Genomic DNA, 20086 nt, shown 5'->3' with positions numbered 1-20086 from the left:
TCCAAAAAGGGACATCCAAGTTGAATGTCTATTTCCAGTAAATATACTACTCGAAGCATCTCCCAACATCTCAAACAGGAAACTGTCTCCCTGTTTTCCCCCATTCCCTGCCATCTGAGCAGGCAGCTTGCTTCTCTTTCACCAATACGCCCCCAATCCTGGAGCAGTGCCCAGCACTTCAAGGGCACTCGGTATATTCTGTGGAATGAGTGATTCCGTGGCCCATTTGTGTTCCTACCTCACGGGTCAAGTCTTTATTTGTATGAATAAATACTTTCAGAAAGTATTCATTTTTTTTTTTTTTTGATACGGAGTTTCACTCCCGTCCCCCAGGCTGGAGTGCAATGGCTCAATCTCGGCTCACTGCAACCTGTGCCTCCTGGGTTCAAGCGATTCTCCTGCCTCAGCCTCCTGAGTCGCTGGGATTACTGGTGCCCTCCACAACGCCCAGCTAATTTTTTTTGTTGTTGTTATTTTCAGTAGAGATGGGGTTTCTCCATGTTGGCCAGGCTGGTCTGGAACTCCCGACCTCAGGTGACTCACCCGTCTCGGCCTCCCAAAGTGCTGGGATTACTCAGAAAGTATTCTTACGGTATGATTATAATTTTGCATTCTTATTCATTTCATTCTGAATAACTTTCATATTTCAGTGTAGTTTGTAGTTAAAAGCTTAATGGACCCAAGATGGGAGAGTCACCTGAGTCCTGGAGTTCAAGACTAGCCTGGGCAACATAGTGAGACCCTATCTTTACACAAAAATATTTAAAAATTAGCCAGGTCGGCCAGGCGCGGTGGCTCACGCCTGTAATCCCAGCACTTTGGGAGGCTGAGGCGGGCGGATCATGAGGTCAAGAGATGGAGACCATCCTGGCTAACATGGTGAAACCCCATCTCTACTAAAAATACAAAAACAAAATTAGCTGGGCGTGGTGGCAGGCGCCTGTAGTCCCAGCTACTTGGGAGGCTGAGATGGGAGAATGGCGTGAACCTGGGAGGCAGAGCTTGCAGTGAGCTGAGATGGCGCCACTGCACTCCAGCCTGGGTGACAGAGTGAGACTCCGTCTCAAGGAAAACAAACAAACAAACAAAAAAATTAGCCAGGTCTGGTGCCATGTACCTGAAAGCCTAGCTACTCTGGACTCTGAGGCTGGAAGATTGCTTGAGCCCAGGAGTTCAAAGCTGCAGTAAGCTGTGATTTTGCCACTACACTCCAGCCTGTATGATGGAGCAAGAGACCCTGTCTCAAAAATAAATAAATAAATAAATAAATAAAAGTGTAATGGATGCACAACTTTTCATTCACTTACTCTATTCTTTTTTTGTTTTTGTTTTTGTTCTGAAATGGCATCTCACTCTGTCGCCCAGGCTGGAGTGTAGTGGTGGGATCTTGGCTCACTGCAACCTCTGCCACCCAGGCTCAAGAGATCCTCCCAGCTCAGCCTCCCGAGTAGCTAGGACCACAGGTGCGTGCCACCACACCTGGCTAACTTTTTGTACTTTTGTAGAGATGGGGGTCTCATCATGTTGCCCAGGTTGGTCTCGAACTCCTGAGCTTAAGCAATCTGCCCACCTCGGCCTCCCAGAGTACTGGGATTACAGGCATGAGCCACGGCGCCTGGCCCGCTTACTATATTCTAACCTACTTAGTCATGTCCTTTATGTCTACAGCACTTTTTTTTTTTTTTCAGGCTCTTCAAGTTGGAGTGCAGTGGTATGAATCATAGCTCAACTGCAGCCTCAAACTCCTGGGCTCAAGCAATCCTCCCACCTCAGCCTCTGGAGTAGCTAGGACTACAGGCATGCACCACCACACTTGGCTAATTAAATTTAAAAAACAAAAAATTGTAGAGACAGAGTCTCACTATGTTGCCCAGACTGGTCTTGAACTTCTGGCCTCAAGTGATCCTCCTGCCTCAGCCTCCCAAAGTGCTGGATTATAGGCGTGAGCCACCACTCCCAGCCTATCTAACAGCATTTCATATTGTGATTTTTCCTCTGATGATAAGTGTCAGAGAGCAGCCAATTTCCCTTTTAAAATTACCTTAGTATCCAAGGGAAAGGAAACCACGTGCTATGCACAAAGTCTTACATATTAATGTTCATAACAGCATTGCTCAAAATAGCCAAAATTAGAAATAATCCAAGGGTGGGGCACCACGGCTCACGCCTGTAATCCCAGCACTTTGGGAGGCCGAGGTGGGCGGATCACAAGGTCAAGAGATCGAGACAAGCCTGGCCAACATGGAGAAACTCCGTCTCTACTAAAAATACAAAAATTAGCTGAGTGTGGTGGCATGCGCCTGTAGTACCAGCTACTCAGGAGGCTGAGGCAGGAGAATCGCTCAAACCTGGGAGGTGGAGCTTGCAGTTAGCCGAGATCGTGCCACTGCACTCCAGCCTGGTGACAGAGCAAGACTGTCTAAAAAACAAAAACAAAAGCAAAAACAAAAACCAAAAAAAAAGAAAGAAACAATCCAAATGCCCATCAACAGGAAAATGGTAAATAAAAATGTGGCATTTTCTTACAAAGGAATATTACTTAACAATAAAAATAGTTAAACTATTGATACATATAACACCATGGATGAATCTCAAAAACACTATGCTGAACAAAAGAAGCCAGATACAAAGGAGCTTATATACTGTACGGTTCTGTTCTAGAACAGCTCAAACAAATCTATAATTTTAGAAATCAGATCAGTGGTTGCCAAGGGCAAAAGAGGGCAATTTGACTGCAAAAGCATATGAGAGAACACTGAAGTGGATGACAACGATCCAGGTTGTCATCGTGGTGGCCATTATACACACACACGTATAGTTGTAAAAACTAATTGAACAGTAAACCTAAAATGTGTGCATTTTCTTTTATTTATTCAACCTCAAGAAAGCCGATGATTTAAAAACCCTCCTCCCAAACATGACAAATCCAAAAGCACTAAGGATTTTGAATGTCAGTTTGGCAGTGTACAAGTGAGTCTCCTTATCCCCATCCTTGTCAGAACAGAAATGACCCTTTTTTTTTCCTTTCTTTTTTGTGTTTTTGCCAGCTTGGTTTGTTTCTTGAATTTGCATTGCTCTAATTTGAGGCTTGAAACAATGATTGGAGTTATCAAGAGGGAAGAGCGCAGGTGAGAGAGTGGGTGTATCAGGGAGCTGGAAAGTCTGTGCAGCTGGAGCACATGATAAGTGGGAGTGGCCAGACTTTATGTTGAAGAGGTTGGCAGGAGATGGAGCCTGCAGGGCATGGAAGCCAGGCTGAGGGGTTCGCTAGACTTAGGAGGTGTAGGAGAGAAATGGAAAGATTTCAAAGGGGTTGGAAAGGCATAACCAGATTGGTTCTTCAGAAAGATCGCTCTGTCTGAATGGGAAGAATGGGGAGGGCTAGGGAAGGAGATTAAACCTGAGAAACCAGCTGGAGCTGATGCAGTGGTCCAGGGGTGAGATGATGGGGACAGACTCCAGATACCATTCATCTATCTAACATCTATCTATCTATCATCTATCTACCTATCTATCTATCTATCTATCTATCTATCATCTATCTACCTACCTATCATCTATCATCTATCTCTATCTATCTATCTATCTATCTATCTATCTAATCTATCTATCATCTATCTATCATCTATCTATCTATCTATCTATCTATCTATCTATCTATCATCTATCTATCTATCTATCTGAGACAAGGTTTCACTCTGTCGCCCAGGCTGGAGTGCAGTGGCACGATCTCAGTTCACTGCAGCCTCCGCCTCCCGAGTTCCAGCAATTCTCCTATCCAGCCTCCCTAGTAGCTGGGATTACAGGTGTCACTACCACACCTGGCTAATTTCTTTTGTATTTTTGGTACGGACAGGGTTTCGCCATGTTGGCCAGGCTGATCTTGAACTCCTGACCTCAAGTGATCCACCCGCCTCGGCCTTCCAAAGTGCTGGGATTTCAGGTGTAAGCCACCGTGCCCAGCCCAGATACCATGTATTTTGAGGAGAAGCTGAGCATTGTTGGGGACAGCACCACCATTAGACCTGGACTATTGGGGCCCAGGGATTTAGAGAGCCCCACATATCACACCCACCCACACACCCACCCACACACAACAGTTTATTAAATAACAGATAAGCACCTCTGTCCTTTGGGATCTGGTGCCTGGTACTGGCACAGTGGGACCCACATCACTGATTATTCTCTTTCACAACCAACACTGTTTAGGCCCCAGGAAACAATCTCTACATGTGGCACTCGACTCTGAAAACAACAGGTCAAATGTCCTGATACTTCGTGGATGATGCCACCGCAGACATAGGAGACAGACACTGCTTCAAGAGAGGATTTGAGTGAACTTGGAGGTAAGAAAAAAGACAAATTAACATTTTAACTCTTCCCTTTCAGCATAAATGCCAACAAAAAAACTCTTTGTTTTGCCAGAAACACTGAAAGTCTATTTTCTTGCAATGTGTGGTTAGAGAGATCCTCCTGAGTTAGAAATAAACAGTACATGCAACAGTTGCACATGGTTGCTGAGAAACATTTGGCAATATTGCATCATTATTACTCCTAAATGTGTGTGTCTGATGTCTGTAGATGGTGCCCACATACAGCCTGAATCTAGTTCTTTTTCTCTTTATTTTCTTGAGACAGAGTCTGGCTCTGTCACCCAGGTTGGAGTGCAGTGGCACAATCTTGGCTTACTGCAACCTCCATCTCCCAGGTTCAAGAAATTCTCCGGCCTCAGCCTCCTGAATAACTGGGATTACAGGCGCCTGCCACCACACCTGGCTAATTTTTGTATTTTTAGTACAGACGGGGTTTCATCATGTTGGCCAGGCTCGTCTCAAACTCCTGACCTCAAATGATCTGCCTGCCTCGACCTCCCAAAGTGCTGGGATTACAGTTGTGAGTCACTGCATCAGGACAATTGAATCTGGTTCTTGACATGGGCATGTAGAGGCTGCATGCTAGCCTCGTGAATAATTTTCAGTTGTACAAATCTTTTGGACATGATTTAATTAATTAATTAAATTTCTTTTTTTTTTTTTTTCGAGACAGAGTCTCGCTCTGTTGCCCAGGCTGGAGTGCAGTGGCACAATCTCAGCTCACTGCAAGCTCCACCTCCTGGGTTCACGCCATTCTCCTGCCTCAGCCTCCTGAGTAGCTGGGAATACAGGCGCCCGCCACCATGCCCGGCTAATATTTTTTTGTATTTTTTTAGTAGAGACAGGGTTTCACCGGGTTAGCCAGGATGGTCTCGATCTCCTGACCTTGTGATCCACCCGCCTCAGCCTCCCAAAGTGCTGGGATAATTAATTAAATTTCTAAAACTTAAATGTAAACATGTCAGCTTCATTTAAAATACTTTTGATTTATAACGTTCAGGCACTTAGGCCAATGGGGTCTGGGGTCTCCGTCTGCTCGAGTGTAGAGATCCCAGGCGCAGCCTGTGTAGGGGAAGGGTGAATAAGGAGAGCTACCACCATTCAAAGCGGAGCTGTGCACTGTGAATGCAGTACAGAGGCGCTTCCGAGTGCCTCTCCTTGGCAGGAGTAAGTGGTCTTCAGTGTCCTCACTGTCCCTCAGGCTGCCGCTTGGGGGTCTCACTCTCCACCTTAGACTATCCAAGTAATTCCTCCAAGCTCATCTGGCACCTACCCTACCACAGTACAATTTTCTCTGTCTCCTAACATTTCAGGTATGCATGAATGCCTCTAAAGACTGAGGCTTTAAGTAGTCCTTCTAGCTCGTCTGGCCCTATCCTCCATCTGGCCCTGGCAGGATGTCAAAAGAAGTTAGGCAGGAACAAAAGAGAGAGAAAAGGCCTCAGGGCAGGCAGTACAGGCTGGTGGTGAAGCGCAAGTTGGTGAACTTCTCTGTGCCTCAGTATCTCTACCTGTAAAATGAGAATAATAGTGGTACCTACTTCATTGGGTTGTTATGAAGATTAAATTGGTACATAGTTGTAATGCTTGGTTTTTTAAAGTTCTTAAAATTTTTTGGTAGGGATGGGAGGTCTCACTATGTTGCCCAGGCTGGTCTCGAACTCCCGGGCTCAAGTGATCCTCCCACTTCAGCCTCCCAAAGTGCTGGGTTTACAGGCATGAGCTACCACACCCATAAAATGCTTGTTAAATAAAATAAATTTGCTCCTAAGGGTCTTCTGATTATAATAACTATCGCTGTCAGTTTAACCATCCCCCAGACAAGCTGGGGTGAGGAGGGAAGAAAAATTTCTGCATTGCATATGTACTTCAGTGATTGCAAGCTACATCTCTCTTTTAAAGATATCAAAACATGAAAACGTGTCTATCCTAGGCTCAAGAAAATAAGACATTCCCCCCATTATATAGATGAGGAAAAAAGTGGCCCAGAGAGGCGAGGCAGTGTGGGAAACGTCACACAGCAGGTGAGCTGGAAGTCATCAGGGAAATGCACCTGTTTGAAACACTTCATTTCCTGAAAAAGTCACATTCCACCCTTCTTCATCAAGGCCAGAGCCAAGGTCTGTGTAAGACCAACCTGTGACCTGCTTCCACATGAGAATACATAGGCTGAGCAAATTGTCCTCATGGGGAACTCTGTGACTGGGCTGAGGAAAGACCCAAAAAGATTTTCTCAAGTTCAAATCCTGTTTTGTGATCTTGGGCAACTTAAGAAACCTCTTTGAACTTCAGTTTCCTCATCTGAAAAGCCAGGGTTACAACATGTGTCCCACGAGATTGTGTATGAGATGAAAATGTGGGATCACATGCACATGCGCATGAGATCGCACCGAGCATGCCACCTGGTGTGCCGTCCATGCACAAGAAATTGTAGCCATTATTCTTCTGAATGGTGCTATTCTTGGGTTGAACCATATGAAACTGGGTTTTGCAGGTCCAAAAGCATTGGATATTATTCTATTTCATACCGTTCACTCTACTATTATTGAACAATAGTCCTTTCTGTGGCTGGCAAGAAAGGCAGAGCATATCGGCCCCATTTTGCAGAGAGAGAAACTGAGGCCTAGAGAGAAAGAATGACCTACCCAGGGCCATGTCCCAGTCAGGAACTGGAATCTGCCTGCCAGCCTCTCTTTTTCTCGCTCTTCTTTTCCTCATTTTTCCAATCCTGGGCTGCCGGCCATTATGGGTTGTGACCATAGCTAGGGTTTGATTCATTGTGAACAGGGCAAACAGGCTGGCCTGGGCTTTCCCCTGGAGTTGGCCCAGCCTGGGAAGTCCACCTGACTGTTTCCTGACACTCAGTTGTGCAACAGGAGATTGGGAACTGTGGGTACTGCCAGTTTAGGAAAAGTTTCCTTCTGTCCCCAACAACCTCCTATCTGCCCCTGCTGGGAATGAGCTGGCCCAGCTCCAGCATCCTCACTGGCCCACCTGGGATTGGAGACCAGGCCGAGAGTCGTGAGTGTCACAGTTCTAACATGGCTCTTCTTGCTTTCCCCCTCTGGCCCTTCTGGCTGGCTTTTTCAATCTCTACCCATGTCTTCCAGGCCTAGCAGAAACTGCTGATGCCTCCAGAGCTCTGAGTGCAGTGCAGACCTCTCTCCTTTCCTCGCAGCGCAGGCAGCTGCCTCCTGGATGGCTCTGCTCCAGGGCCCCATGGCAGTCAAACCCAACTTGCCAACTCAGACCTCTGCTCATCTGTGCAAACCTGTGACTTGTCATGTTCCCAGCTCCATACCGCAGGCTTCCTCACCCTTTCCTGCAGCCCCACATGGGAACACTTACCGTTCCCAAATGCAAAGTGCTACCTTTACCTCTGGGCCTTGGCAGGCACTGTTCCCTCTACCCCAAGTGCCCTTCCCCATCTGGCTCACTTCTATTCCTTCTCTTTCAACCTCAGCTTGAGGAGTGTGATGGTTAATTTTATGTATCACCTTGACTGGGCCACAGGGTGCCCAGATATTTGGCCAAACACTATTCTGGGTGTGTCTGTGAAGGTGTTTTTGGATGGGATTAACATTTGGGTAATCCCATGGGAGACTGAGTAAAGCAGATGGCCCTCCCCAATGTGGCTGGGCTTCATCCAATCAGTTGAAGGCCTGAATAGAACAAACAGGCTGAGTACGAGCGAATTCCTTCTGCCTGACTGCCTTCAAGCTGGGACAGGTTTTTTCCCTGCCTTTGGACTTGAACTGAACCGTTGGGTTTTCCTGGGTCTCAAAGCTGCCAGCAGCCAATCTTAAGATTTGTCAGCTTCCATCATTGCATGAGCCAATTTCATATAATAAATCCCTTAATATGGAGTGCAGTGGCGCCATCTCAGCTCACTGCAAGCTCCGCCTCCCAGGTTCACACCATTCTCCTGCCTCAGCCTCCTGGGTAGCTGGGACTACAGGCACCCGCCACCACACCCAGCTAATTTTTTTTCTATTTTTAGTAGAGGCGGGGTTTCACTGTGTTAGCCAGGATGGTCTCGATCTCCTGACCTCGTGATCCGCCCACCTCGGCCTCCCAAAGTGCTGGGATTACAGGCGTGAGCCACCGCGCCCGGCTGCAAGTTTTTAAAATATAAAATCCTGGGTATAAACTCAACTGTTAGTGATGTGCTCTTTCTCCTCAATGAGAATGGCAGAAAAGTTCTGATTATTCATTGTCCCAGGGAAGGAGGAATAAGCTGAGGAAGAAAGAGATCTGAAACAAGGGTCAGGAAATGTGGGCTCCAGGCCAGGATACTCAGATACGTATAAATTTCAGATAAATAACAAATAAAAAGATTTCTAGCATAAGCATTTCCTCAAAATTGCATGGAGCATACTTGTACTAAAAAATAGCTATTGTTTATCTGAAATTCAAATTGATCTGGGCATCCTATAGTTTTATTTTTTAAGTCTGGCAACGCCATCTCCCAGACTCACACCCACTCACTTCTTCCGTGGCAGGTACTATTGTGACTTCTCTCAAGAATGTGACAGGCAGGGATCACTCCTTTTGAAGCATTATTCACAATAGCCAAAGGTAGAAACAGCCCAAATGTCCACCAGTTTGGCTCAAATATCCATCAGCTTATGAGTAGGTAAACAAAATGTGGTTTATCCATGCAATGGAGTACATTCAACCATAAAAAGAATGAAGTACTGATACACGTTACGACACAGATGAATCTTGAAAACATCACGCTGAGTGAAAGAGGCCGGGGTCACAAAAGGCCACATACTGTATGATTCCACTTGTATTAGGTCGGTGCCAAAGTAATTGCGGTTTTTGCCATTTAGAAGTAATGACAAAAACCGCAATTACTTTGGCACCAATGTAATATAAAATGTCTGGAGTAGGCAGAGCCGTGGACACAGAAAGCAGGCTGGTGATTTTCCAGGGGTTGGGGGAGGGTGGGACTGCTAAAATGGGTACAGGTTTCCTTTAGGGGTGATGAAAATAATACGAAATTAGATCATGGTAACGTTGCACACCATTCTGAATGTACTATCACCAGTGGCAAATTTTATGTTATGTGTAATTAACCACAATAATAATAAAAACAAATTGCTCATGTTAACCTCAGTGTACCTCCTCCCTGTGTGTTAGGAGTTGAATCGTGTCCCCCCAAAAGATATGTCCTAACCCCCTGCACCAGTGAATGTGACCTCATTTGGAGATAAGGCCTTTGCAGATGAAAGTAAGTTAAGGTGGGGTCATGAGTGTGGGCTCTAATCCAATATGACTGGGGTCCTCATAAAGAGAAGATGGAGCAGAGAGACACATCAGAACACGTGTCACCACAGGGACACAGACCGAAGTGCTGCAGCTGCAAGCCAAGGAATGACTGGGGCTACCAGGAGCGGGAAGAGGCAAGGAAAGATCCTCCCCTTGAGGCTTTGGAGGGAGTGTGGCCCTGCCAACACTGCCTGTGTGAACTTCTGGCCTCCAGAACTGCGAGAGAGACGGTTCTGTGTTGTTTGCAGCCACCAAGTTTGTGGTATTTGTTACAGCGTAAGGAGGACATCCTCTGAGCATCTCCTCCCACTCCCTATCCCAGCCCAGCCAGAAACTGCCCCCCTGAGCTTTGAGAAGCAGCACGGGACCACAGGCGTGTCATTCCATTGCCTCAGTTTTAAATATTTATTTAAAATCCAGAGGGGAAAAGGAGAAACGGAACCCATTGGGGTTTTAATACACTGACATGTGGACAGAGACGTAAACGAAGACAGCAGGAAAACCCAAGAATGAGACAGAGGCCAGTGGATTCTGGCAGCAGGAGGGATCCGAGCGCTGAGATGAGGCCCGAGCTGCTACAAACACGCACTTCCACGCAGAGCGTCCAGGCTGGGGCGGCAGGGCGAGGATACAGAAGTGTTGGGAGGGGGGACGGGCCAAAGTGAGGTATTAAATAATAAAAATCAAATCCAATTCCCAAAGAGACACAACTTTAGGAGAGAAATACACAAATAGAGACTTTCACATACATTTTCCCCTTCTATAAAAATAATTCCATGGTTAAAATAACCTCAAAATCCAATTCAAGCGCCGACTTGTTCGCTGATGTAGCACAATTCAGAGGACGCTGAACGTCACTATGGTGTCGAACTCCGAGATTCCCATTATTATTCTGTCTCCTTGACCCAAATTTACACTTGGAGCTAATGACAATGGGTTTCTACAGAATTTAATGACAATGAAAAAGCAGGAACGATGATTGCATCTTGCAAGGACAGGCTCCTGGAAGTGAGGACCTCGGAAGAGGCGATGCGGCTTCCTGAGATGGTTCCATGTTGATGCTTCACCTCTAAGCCTAGCCCTGACCCAACGCCGCTTTTGTGATTGGTTTCTTCAAGGTCAAGTTTTCACCCAAGACCTCTCCAGGGCACGCCTTCCAAGGCCAGCCTCACCTCCCTCCAGGACCGTGAAGGGCCAAGCCAACATGCTTCGCACCCAGGCCTCCCTGCTGCCTTAAAAGGACAGACATTTCAAAGTCCATAAGTTATATGGTAAATCTCTCTACTTCTGGTTTCTGGTAGGGTTTTTGTTTTTGTTTTTGTTTTGCTTTTTTTTTTTTTTTTTCCTTTTTTCTTTTCTTTTTTCCTCCTTAGCAGATTACCTGATGAGCACAAGGGCGATGCTAGGAAAATTCAAAAATTCCCCAAACTTTGTCATTTGGAGGAGAGAGAAAGATGCGGATGATGCCCCACATCCAAAAGTTTCTTCAAAGTCTGTGGCAAAATAATGGTAGCACCTTCAGAATCTTAAATAGGGATTTTTTTTTTTCCTTAAAAAAATCACATACACTGTGAGAGACAATTGTGAGCACCAGCGATTTCACAGTGGGAGGTAGCAAACGTGGGCACCCCCAGCCCGAGGATCTCGCCGCTTCCCACGCCTGGCTGCTCCTTCCCATCCTCTCACCTCTTTCCCGGGTGAAAAAAAAATAGTAACGCACCTTCTTTTTGTTTGTTTAAATAATATATATATACACTTCTGTCTTTCCTTTTCTCCTTTTTTCATGTCTCCTTTCTAATATTGCACATCAATAGCTCCCTAGCAGGGACCAGCTGACGAGACGCCCCCTTCCCTCAAGTTGGCTTGAATGTGGGGCTCTTTGGGCAGGAAGCTGGGGAGGGAACGGGGTGGCCGCAGAGCTGAGAGGCCACGGGGCTCAGGCAGGTTGCAGGTCCAGCTTACTCTGGCTGGCTCTTTGGTTGGTCTTTGGGGCTAAGCTGGGATCCATTGTTCCCAAGGACACCCTATCCCCTCCTACCCCCACCCACTTCTACTGGGCAGACAACAGCTGGGGTCTGCCCAAGGACCCTTGGGCAGGGGAGCTGCCTCTCCTGGAGCCATCTGCCCCTCAGTACCCTCCCCTTGCCTCTTCCTCTTCCCTCCTCCGTGAGGCCTAGAGTGGCCACGAGGTCAGAGGTCAGAGGAAGCACGCAGGTCCAACTTCCAGGCGGTACTGCTTCCCTGATGAGGCAGGAGGGAGGTTGTCCACACTGATGATGGGCAGCTGTTGGGGGTCTTGGGTCCGGAAGGTGAAGAGTGTCTGATGCCAGCGGCCATCTTGGACCTGAAGGCAGAAGGAAAAGTGCACACGTACATCCATCGTGATTCTTATCATACATCATGAGCATTTTCCCTTCCATCTTTCCTCACAATTTTTAATGGCTATACTGTATTTCATTGTAGCAATGACCTATATGGCACATTTAGATTGCTTCCACTCTTTTTATTCTTGTAAGGAATGCTGTCATGAACATCACTGTAACTAAACCTTTGTGTGCATTCTTATTTCCCTAGAACAAATTCTAGAAGGATTGTTCTAGATTGCTAGACCAAAAAACAAGTACATCTCATATACATATATATATATTTTTTAATTTATTTTTTCAATAAGTTTTTGGGGAACAGGTGGGGTTTGGGTACATGAATAAGTTCTTTAGTGTACACGGTACCCAATGTGTAGTCTTTTACCTCTCACCCCTCTCCCACCCTTTTCCCTAAGTCCTCAAATTCCGTTGTACCATTCTTATGCCTTTGTGTCTTCATAGCTTAGCTCCCCTGAAAATAAGTACATTTCTAAGGTTTTGGATATATATTAGAGCTGCTATCCAGAAAGCCTCTACCAATTTATTTTCTTCCAACAGCTTCATGCGAGATTGTTGGTTTCCCCACATCCTCATGAACACTGTGTAGTATTATTAGTTTTGTTTAGTCTTATAAAACTGATTTTTGCCTTTTCTCAACTTTCTGTCTTCCCCTCCCCTGACAACCCACCCTGTTCAGGACATTTGAAAATGACCAAAAAATATAATGAGAAGAAATTAGCCTGACTAGGGTGGGAGCAGGAAGAAGAAATGTATCTTCTTTGAAAGAGCCTTGCAAGTAAGTACAACATCTACTAGCCCAAAGAATTTTTACCAGCCCAGACCTCCCCTCATAGCTTCCCAGAGAGGAAAGTGAGTAAAAACGATTTTAGAAAACTGTTATATTACACAAAGATGAAATCATATCTATCACATTAATATAGTATACTATTAAAATGTTAGATATAATCTTATAATAGAAACACATTTTTCCAAACAAGTGTTTTTCCAGTTGTCCCCACATGAAGGGCCTAGGAGGGGCTCTGAGAGTTACCTTGCAGCCATCCATGGACACCTCGGGCCGGAACTGACCCCCAGCTTCAAAAATCTGTCCATTCCAGGCCCGGAAGCGTACGGCCTGCTTGGCTGGGGTCTGCCCAGTGCCCTCCTGCCACACGGTCATGTTAAGGCAGTGGATGGTGATGTGCTGGGTCACCTCGGAGCTTAGCAGGTGCAGGAAATTCATCTGGACCCGGCTGATGGCAAACTCGACCTATAGAGAAGCAACGGCAGTGAGCGGCTCAGGCTGCCCCCCACACCCCCCACACCGAGGGTTCCCTGCCTCTCTATGGAGGGAACAGGGATAGGCCCCTTCCTGGCAAGCATTTCCTGATATGCTCCCAGACATGTGCCCACTTGATAGACGGGGAAACTGAGGTCTGCGTGAGCTGGTCTTACAGGTTCTTGGCTGCGTAAGTGGGAAGGGCCTGCCTGACTCCAGAGCCAGAGCTTCAAAGATCTTGGTGCCATCTGATCCACTCCCTTACTGTATGGGGGGTCTTTGGGCTGAGCTAGGATCCAGGAGCTCAGCGAGGGAGAGGGTTTTGCCCAAGACTAAGAGGCTCATGGAATGCAGAGGAAATGAGAGGTGTTTTCGAGACCCTTCCTAAGTCCCAAGATCCCTGTGAGGTGCGATGGGGTGCTGCCGGAAATGGCAGACCTGAGAGCAAACAACACGGCAGGATTTGTGGCTTCAGCACTTTCCCACACAGAGCCAGGGCCTCTCCCTGCCATTGTTTCTGATGGAGAAGGTGACCCAGTTGGGCATTCATGCCACCAACCCAGGCGCCAACTCCAGCCTCACCCCTCTGCTAGGCAGGTTTGCTGCGTGATCCCAAAACCTTCGAGTCACCAGGGAAGAGAGCCTGTGGAGGTCACCAAGTCCCTGCTGGACTGTGAGCTCTGGCCGCAGGGGAGTTTCGAGTCTGACCTCCCCGTCCTGGCTCAGGGCCTGGCACATGATAGGGACCCAACAAAGACCTGGCTACTGGCTGGCTGCCTCTCCTAGAGATTCTCAAACTGCCAGTCTGACCCAGTCAGCACAAGGCATCTCCTAGGGGATGTGGCTGATGAAATGGGAGGGTTCCTTTCCCCCGCAGTCGGAGCAGCTTCTCACTGTGGCATAAATTGCCCCCAAATTCGGAAGGCTTAGTGGAACTACAGACCCACAATCCACTGAGGATCCCTGGGCGAGGGAGCTGTCAGGTCTCATGCTGCCACCTGCCTTGGTTTGTTGTTGAGTGGCCCTGTACCACCTAAAATGCTCAACCCAGAAACAGGCACGTGGTACGCAGGCATTGAACATGAGTTAAGTATTCGCATACATAATTCACACAACATGCTTCAGATGAGCATCATGCTAGTTTTCTCTTTTATTTCATGCTGATGATTCATAGTTCCACAAGCCAGGCCAGCTTGGCCAACTGCTCTGCTTTAGATATTAGGCAGAAGATTCTATTTGAAGAAAGAATCATCAGCATCATATGACTCGAAAGGGTTTGTGGTTACAAATTAGTCCTACTCACTCCCAATTTATAGATAAGGAAACTGAGTCTCGGAAGGAGGCGATAACTTTCCCAAGGGCATGCAGTAAGACAGGCACAGCTCAGAACAGAACCTGGGTTGGTTGTGGCCCAGGGCAGGCTGGGGATAGAGGCAGACAGCCTGGTGGGCAGTGTGGGAGCTGATGGGTACCTTGGAGGCCGTGATGGGCTTGAGACACGTCTGTCCACCATGAGTGAAGTTGCAGGAGACCTCGATGGTGTCAGAGGAGCAGCCAAGGTTTGGATCCACCCAGTAGGTACCTGCAGGCAGCGTGGGATGGAGGTGATGTATGTATCTGGGGGATGAGCCCATTCCTTGGTTCTGTAGATGGACCCTGCATCTTGTGACCTGCCGAGCCCCAGGTGAGCATGAAGTCAGGGTGGGTGAGCAGAAAAGGGATTCCTCCAACCGAGATGGAAGGAAACCTTCTGGGCAGAGCTCACAACTGGCAGAGCCCCCAGAGGAGGGGTCACATGGCTAAGTACTTGCCTATGTTGCTACTGGGATGTATCCATTTTACAGAGAAGACAACTGACATTGAGAGAGGCTGGGTCACTTGCACAAGGGTTTGGGGGATCACCTAGTTGAATGGATTCTTCGAGGCCTAGGGCTCCTCCTAGGGCCTGCCGGGGGAGGGTAGGAGTCAGGTCTCCCACCCCATCAGCCAGCGCTGCTGCTTACATCTAGCTTCCCCACTGGGCTTCTCAGGAAGCCAAAACCTTTGCAGCTCAAGAGTGGAACAACCAGCCATCTAGTCCCAGCCGCTTGTGCAGAGGAGGCAAGGGCAGCTCGGGATGGGGCCGTGGCTTGCCCCAGCTCACAGACCAAGTCTGAGGCAGAACTGACATTGGAACTCAGGTCTGTCTGGCTCCGCAGCTTGTCCTTCACAGCACCACATCAGCTCACAGATGAGAGAGCAGAGTCCTCATGCTCAGAAAGGGGGAAAATCCTGGCTCACCCGGGAGCCTGTGACAGGATGGGCCCCAGGGGTGGGGACTCTTACAGCCTCAGGAGCTTTTTCTGCCAGAGCTCTTGTCTCTTTGCACTGAAATGGTCATCCCCAGCATGCGGATCTTGGTATATTGTGAGGCTCTGTGACTGCTGAGTGAATAAATGACTGCCAGTGTATCTGTCTTGCTGAGGACAAAAACTCAGCCAAAATGCGGCGGAAATCAAATACTCCACCTGCCCCAGCTCCCCACCGCCAGGCGCACCCACCCCCGGCAGGAAGCCTTCTCACCATCCACCATCTTCTGCTCACAGTCCATGAGGTCCCTGCAGACCCGGGCGGGGTTCTCTTTGGTGCCCAGGGGCGTCTTAATGCTCTGGATGAGGTTGCTGAGGTAGTGTAAGGTTTTAAAGATCTCTCCTCCCTGGTCCAGCACCAGCCGGTCTGGATAGCTGTAACTCTGTCACGAGGAGAGGGTGGTCATTGGGACCTTAGGGTCCTGGTCCAGCCTGGGGTTCAAGCCTCCACAGCCCCCAGTTCTCACAACCTGGGAGGTATCTCGGTTCCACGGTCATGGCTAGAGCACGGGTTGGGTTTCTCTTTATTTTGCAGACAAGAAAACGGGCCAGGGACAAAGTGCAGGAGGAGAGGCTATCACAATGGCTCAGAGGCTTGAAAAGAGCTCAGGGTCAGACCATGTTCTCTGATATGGGACAGGCAGAGCCCCGTGAATGAGGTAGGCGAGGGTGCGTGGGACACTCGGCAGCGGCCCAATCTCTATCTGCAAAGAGCCTGTGGAGGAAGGGGAGGTGCTGGGGGGAGCTGACTTGGGGGTCACACAGCCCCCACTGGGCTCCCCTAGGGTGGGAGCCAGGGTCTCTGTGAGGCACCAGGAGACGGGACTGGGGCCAGCAGGCACAAGTGCTGGGAGGAGGACTTCAGCTCAGAGAAGGAGCAGATCTCCACTAGGGGGCAGGAGGGGACCACAGATGCTAAACAGCCGGCCATTCAGGGTTACCCTGGCCAGAATTCTCCCTTAAGCCTCAGCTTCCAGAGCTACAAATCAGAGCTAAATAAACCCTCCTTCCACTGGGGGTGGCGGAGGTCACGTGTGTGTGTGCACGCATGTGTGAACGTGTGTCAGAGACCAGCAGCCGCTCACCCAATCCATTTCTTCTGCCTGGACAGACTACATCTTCAGCCTTATTTGTGCTCTAGCCAACGGGATGGAAGTGGAGCGATGCTAGCCCCATAGAGGCCTGGCCCAGAGACCCTCCTGCACAATTCTCTACACTCTCTTTCCCCGGTGGTGCCTCCCCCTGGTGTGGAGTGACCTTGGGAGCCACGTGTGGGAGAGGAAGAGGGCAGAGCCCCTGGCAGGTAGCCAAGGTCTCTCATCAACAAGCCAATTAACTTTTACGTGCACGAGAAATAAGCCTCTATTCTACCGCCAATGCAGAGTGGGTAGGAGGTGCTTGATAAACGGAGCCACTTTCCTTCATCATGTTAAGGATGTTGCAGGTCAGCGCTCTCCTGTGCGGCATCACTGGCTTCTAGGGATGGAAGGAAACGCTTCCCTTCTCCAGCCGCACTGGATCCTGAGTGTTCCCCTCTCTTTCCACTGACCTCCCCGGACAGATGGTAAGGGGCTCATCCATGCTGTCCTCCACCCTAGACTGTGAGCCCTCTGAAAGTCAAGGCTGTGACTGGCCATCCATCTGTCTCAGCATCCAGCACAGGGAACAAACCGAAATGTTCATAGGAGGTTTGAGCTGGGGGCAGTAAGTTCCCTGTCATGTGAAGGAGGCAAGGCTGCAAAGGGGGCTCCTGACCGAGGCTGGACTAGAGGACATGGGACTCCCTTCTCAGCCTGGAGTCTTACAGCTGAGTTAACCACAGGGCAGGTTCTTAGCAGAGCCCCACGAGCTAACCATGAGCTTCTTACTCCTGAAGAAACGTGGGGATGAGCACTGGGAAGCTGCTGCGGGCTCTGGGCCCAGGCAAGCTTCTCCCCCTGACTCCAGCCAGCAAGAGCTTGGAGACTCTGAGAGGCCTCCGGAGAAAGCTCAAGGGTTCAGGGCCTGTTTCTGGCCTTGCTCTGCCTGCACTGGCCATGGGACCTTGGACTCACTGCCCATTCTGAGTTTCAGTACAAACCCCCATTTGTGGATGCGAGATGCCACCAAGACCAGGACTCTGAAATGCTCCATGCAGGCCACATGGAAGGCACTGACCACATGTGGGCCATTATCTATTTGCGTTTCTCCCAGGAAGGGATCCCACATGGGGAGAGCCCCTGGAGATACCTCTGGCCTGAGTGCTCCACTGGTGTCCATCCACGTCTGGAAAGCTGCCCCAAGATCATCTTGTTGCTGGGCAAGGAAAAGACAGGGTATGTATCGTGGCCCCCCAGGGTTCTCCACACCCATCAAGTGGGAGCCCCAGGGCCACATTCCCTGGCAGGATCTTGGCCAAGTCATATGCCCTCTGCAGAACTCTCGGTCCTTCCTCTCTTTGCAGACAGTCAAAGCTGACCCTGCCATTCCCTTTCCCCAGGTACTAATAGCTCCCCATGGCCCTCAGGATTAAGTTCAGACTCCTCAACATGGTTATAAGACCCAGTTTGAACACTGTGGTCTTGAGCCATGTCTCCTTCCTCTCCCTCATATGTGCTCTGGCACCAGCCGCACTATAGTACTTCTAAGTTCCTAAACGCCATGATCCATCTGGCCATGGGGCCTTTGCACATGCTGTTCTCATTGCCTGGAGGACCTCTCCCTCCCTTCAATGCACCATCTGGCTATCTCCTATACCAGTGGTTCTCAAGGAGAGGCGACAATGCCCCCCAGGGGATATTTGGCAATATCTGGAGACAGTTTAGTTGTTCAAGCCGGGGGAGGGGGTACTACTTGTATCTGGTGGTTAGAGGCCAGGAATTCTGCTAAACATCCTCCAGGACAGTCACTCACAGCAAAGAATTATGCAAATGTCAGTTGCACTGTGTCTCAGAAAACCTGCCCTAGACTCATCCTATAGATGTCAGTTGTGATGGGAAGCCTCTCCCGAAGCTTCTGACTCCAGGCTAAGATGAGGGAGGCCCCCTTTCTCTATGCCCCCAGTCCCCGTGTTTCTCCTTTGGCTCGCACTTTAATAGTCTAATATAACTTTGCACTCCCAACCCTACCACTGGGCTTGGCAGAGACATAGCCGTGGTCTTGCCATGAAAACAGCAAAAGCTGAGGCCTGGGGTCCAGAACGGGGGACTCTGGGGCTACTCCTCAGGGTCAAATTCCAGACCTGCCACTTACTAACTGCATAATCTGGGGAAAGCTGCTTAACTCTTTCTCAGTTCTTTCATCTTGAAAATGGACCTGATAATAAAACTTCCTCACAAGAACTGCTGAAAGGAACACATGAGTGAATACATGAAAAGCACCTGTAGCCCGGCCACGGTGGCTCACCCCTGTAATCCCAGCACTTTGGGAGGCCGAGGCGGGTGTATGGCTTGAGGTCAGGAGTTCAAAACCAGCCTGGCCAACATGGTGAAAACCCATCTCTACTAAAAATACAAAAATTAGCTGTGCGTGGTGGTTCGCGCCTATAATCCCAGCTATTCAGGAGGCTGAGGCAGGAGAATTGCTTGAACCTGGGAGGAGGAGGTTGCAGTGAGATGAGATCGTGCCACTGCACTCCAGCCTGGGAGACAGAGCAAGACTGTGTCTCAAAAAAAAAAAAAAGAAAAGAAAAAAAAAGAAAAGCAAAGCACCTGTAATGGTGTCTGGCATTGAGCAAGCACTCAATTAGCATTAGTAGTGATTATTCAAAAAAATGCAAAATCCTCTAATTTTCTGTTTTTCCTGGATCTTTTCACTTTCCTTTCCCTGCCTTTCTTACTGATGAGAAGGACAAGGGAAGGCTGCAGAGGAGAGGCCAGGGCTGTCACTCTGTCTTTGAGGATGGTGCAGAGGGAGTGGCAGTGAGAGCAGGCATGAGGAGAGCAGAGGTTCTGAATGACGCATGGCTCAAGGGCTCCTGGCCCATTCAGTCTTTCCTCGAGGCTGTGCCCTGGGATGCTGTTGGGGCCTGATGGTAATAGTCGTGTAGCCACCGTGCAATAGTACAATGTGGATGGACTCGTCATAGGGCTTGGGAGGAGTCATGCTCTCAGATAGGGCCACAGTGGCCAATAGGGAAGAATGCAGGGGCCCCAATCTGCCCCCCTGGCCCGACTCTCTTTGTTTTTTTTTTTTTTTGTTTTTTTTGTTTCTTTTTGAGACAGAGTCTTGGTCTGTTTCCCAGGCTGGAGTGCAGTGGCTCGATCTTGGCTCACTGCAGCCTCCTCCTCCCGGGTTCAACCTCTCCTGTAGCTGGGATTACAGGTGCCACCCACCACACCCAACTACTTAAGTATTTTTAGTAGAGACAGGGTTTCACCATGTTGGTCAGGTTGGTCTCGAACTCCTGACCTCAGGTGATCTGCTCGCCTCGAACTCCCAAAGTGCTGGGATTACAGGCATGAGCCACTG

At 48.8% G+C, this 20086-nt stretch overlaps 1 protein-coding gene and 1 long non-coding RNA gene across 10 annotated transcripts in view, besides 3 other annotated features; one reads left to right on the top strand and one right to left on the bottom strand.

Moving 5' to 3' along the window:
• Window positions 3229-19078, top strand: LOC105376224 (uncharacterized). Of its 2 annotated transcripts, none has more exons than XR_001746906.2 (3): window positions 3229-3437; window positions 4210-4346; window positions 12708-13066. It is a non-coding gene; the product is annotated as an uncharacterized LOC105376224 (long non-coding RNA). The 2 variants fall into 2 exon arrangements; XR_930255.3 differs by lacking the exon at window positions 3229-3437 and adding an exon at window positions 16173-19078 and having other exon boundaries at window positions 4097-4346; window positions 12708-12806.
• Window positions 4377-4671: an enhancer, noted in NCBI's record as "tiled region #10745; HepG2 Activating DNase matched - State 7:EnhWF, and K562 Activating non-DNase unmatched - State 22:ReprW". NCBI's record gives its function as "activates a minimal TATA promoter and a strong SV40 promoter by Sharpr-MPRA in HepG2 and K562 cells {active_cell/tissue: HepG2 | K562}" and the evidence as "EXISTENCE:reporter gene assay evidence [ECO:0000049][PMID:27701403]".
• Window positions 10029-20086, bottom strand: part of COL27A1 (collagen type XXVII alpha 1 chain) — a 158414-nt gene continuing 148356 nt past the window's right edge. For 7 of the 8 annotated variants that reach the window (XM_011519138.3, XM_047423992.1, NM_032888.4 and 4 more), the window contains 5 exons: window positions 17867-17932; window positions 15852-16020; window positions 14762-14871; window positions 13062-13280; window positions 10029-11991 (listed from right to left, as the gene is read on the bottom strand). In XM_011519138.3, the coding sequence (XP_011517440.1) occupies window positions 11845-11991; window positions 13062-13280; window positions 14762-14871; window positions 15852-16020; window positions 17867-17932 (711 nt within the window). In that variant the 3' untranslated portion in view covers window positions 10029-11844. Of the gene's footprint in view, window positions 11992-13061; window positions 13281-14761; window positions 14872-15851; window positions 16021-17866; window positions 17933-20086 lie in introns of those variants that run through there. The other variant, XR_929860.4, reaches the window with a different exon arrangement.
• Window positions 14929-15429: an enhancer, noted in NCBI's record as "H3K27ac hESC enhancer chr9:117069391-117069891 (GRCh37/hg19 assembly coordinates)". NCBI's record gives its function as "activates a minimal SCP1, AML or CMV promoter by ChIP-STARR-seq in primed H9 embryonic stem cells {active_cell/tissue: H9 hESC(primed)}" and the evidence as "EXISTENCE:reporter gene assay evidence [ECO:0000049][PMID:30033119]".
• Window positions 15430-15930: an enhancer, noted in NCBI's record as "H3K27ac hESC enhancer chr9:117068890-117069390 (GRCh37/hg19 assembly coordinates)". NCBI's record gives its function as "activates a minimal SCP1, AML or CMV promoter by ChIP-STARR-seq in primed H9 embryonic stem cells {active_cell/tissue: H9 hESC(primed)}" and the evidence as "EXISTENCE:reporter gene assay evidence [ECO:0000049][PMID:30033119]".

The sequence above is a fragment of the Homo sapiens genome, chromosome 9, assembly GCF_000001405.40.
Source record: "Homo sapiens chromosome 9, GRCh38.p14 Primary Assembly".
NCBI classification, from domain to species: domain Eukaryota; kingdom Metazoa; phylum Chordata; class Mammalia; order Primates; family Hominidae; genus Homo; species Homo sapiens.
Note: the sequence above shows the minus strand (reverse complement) of the source record. Positions and strands in the feature narration are given on the sequence as shown.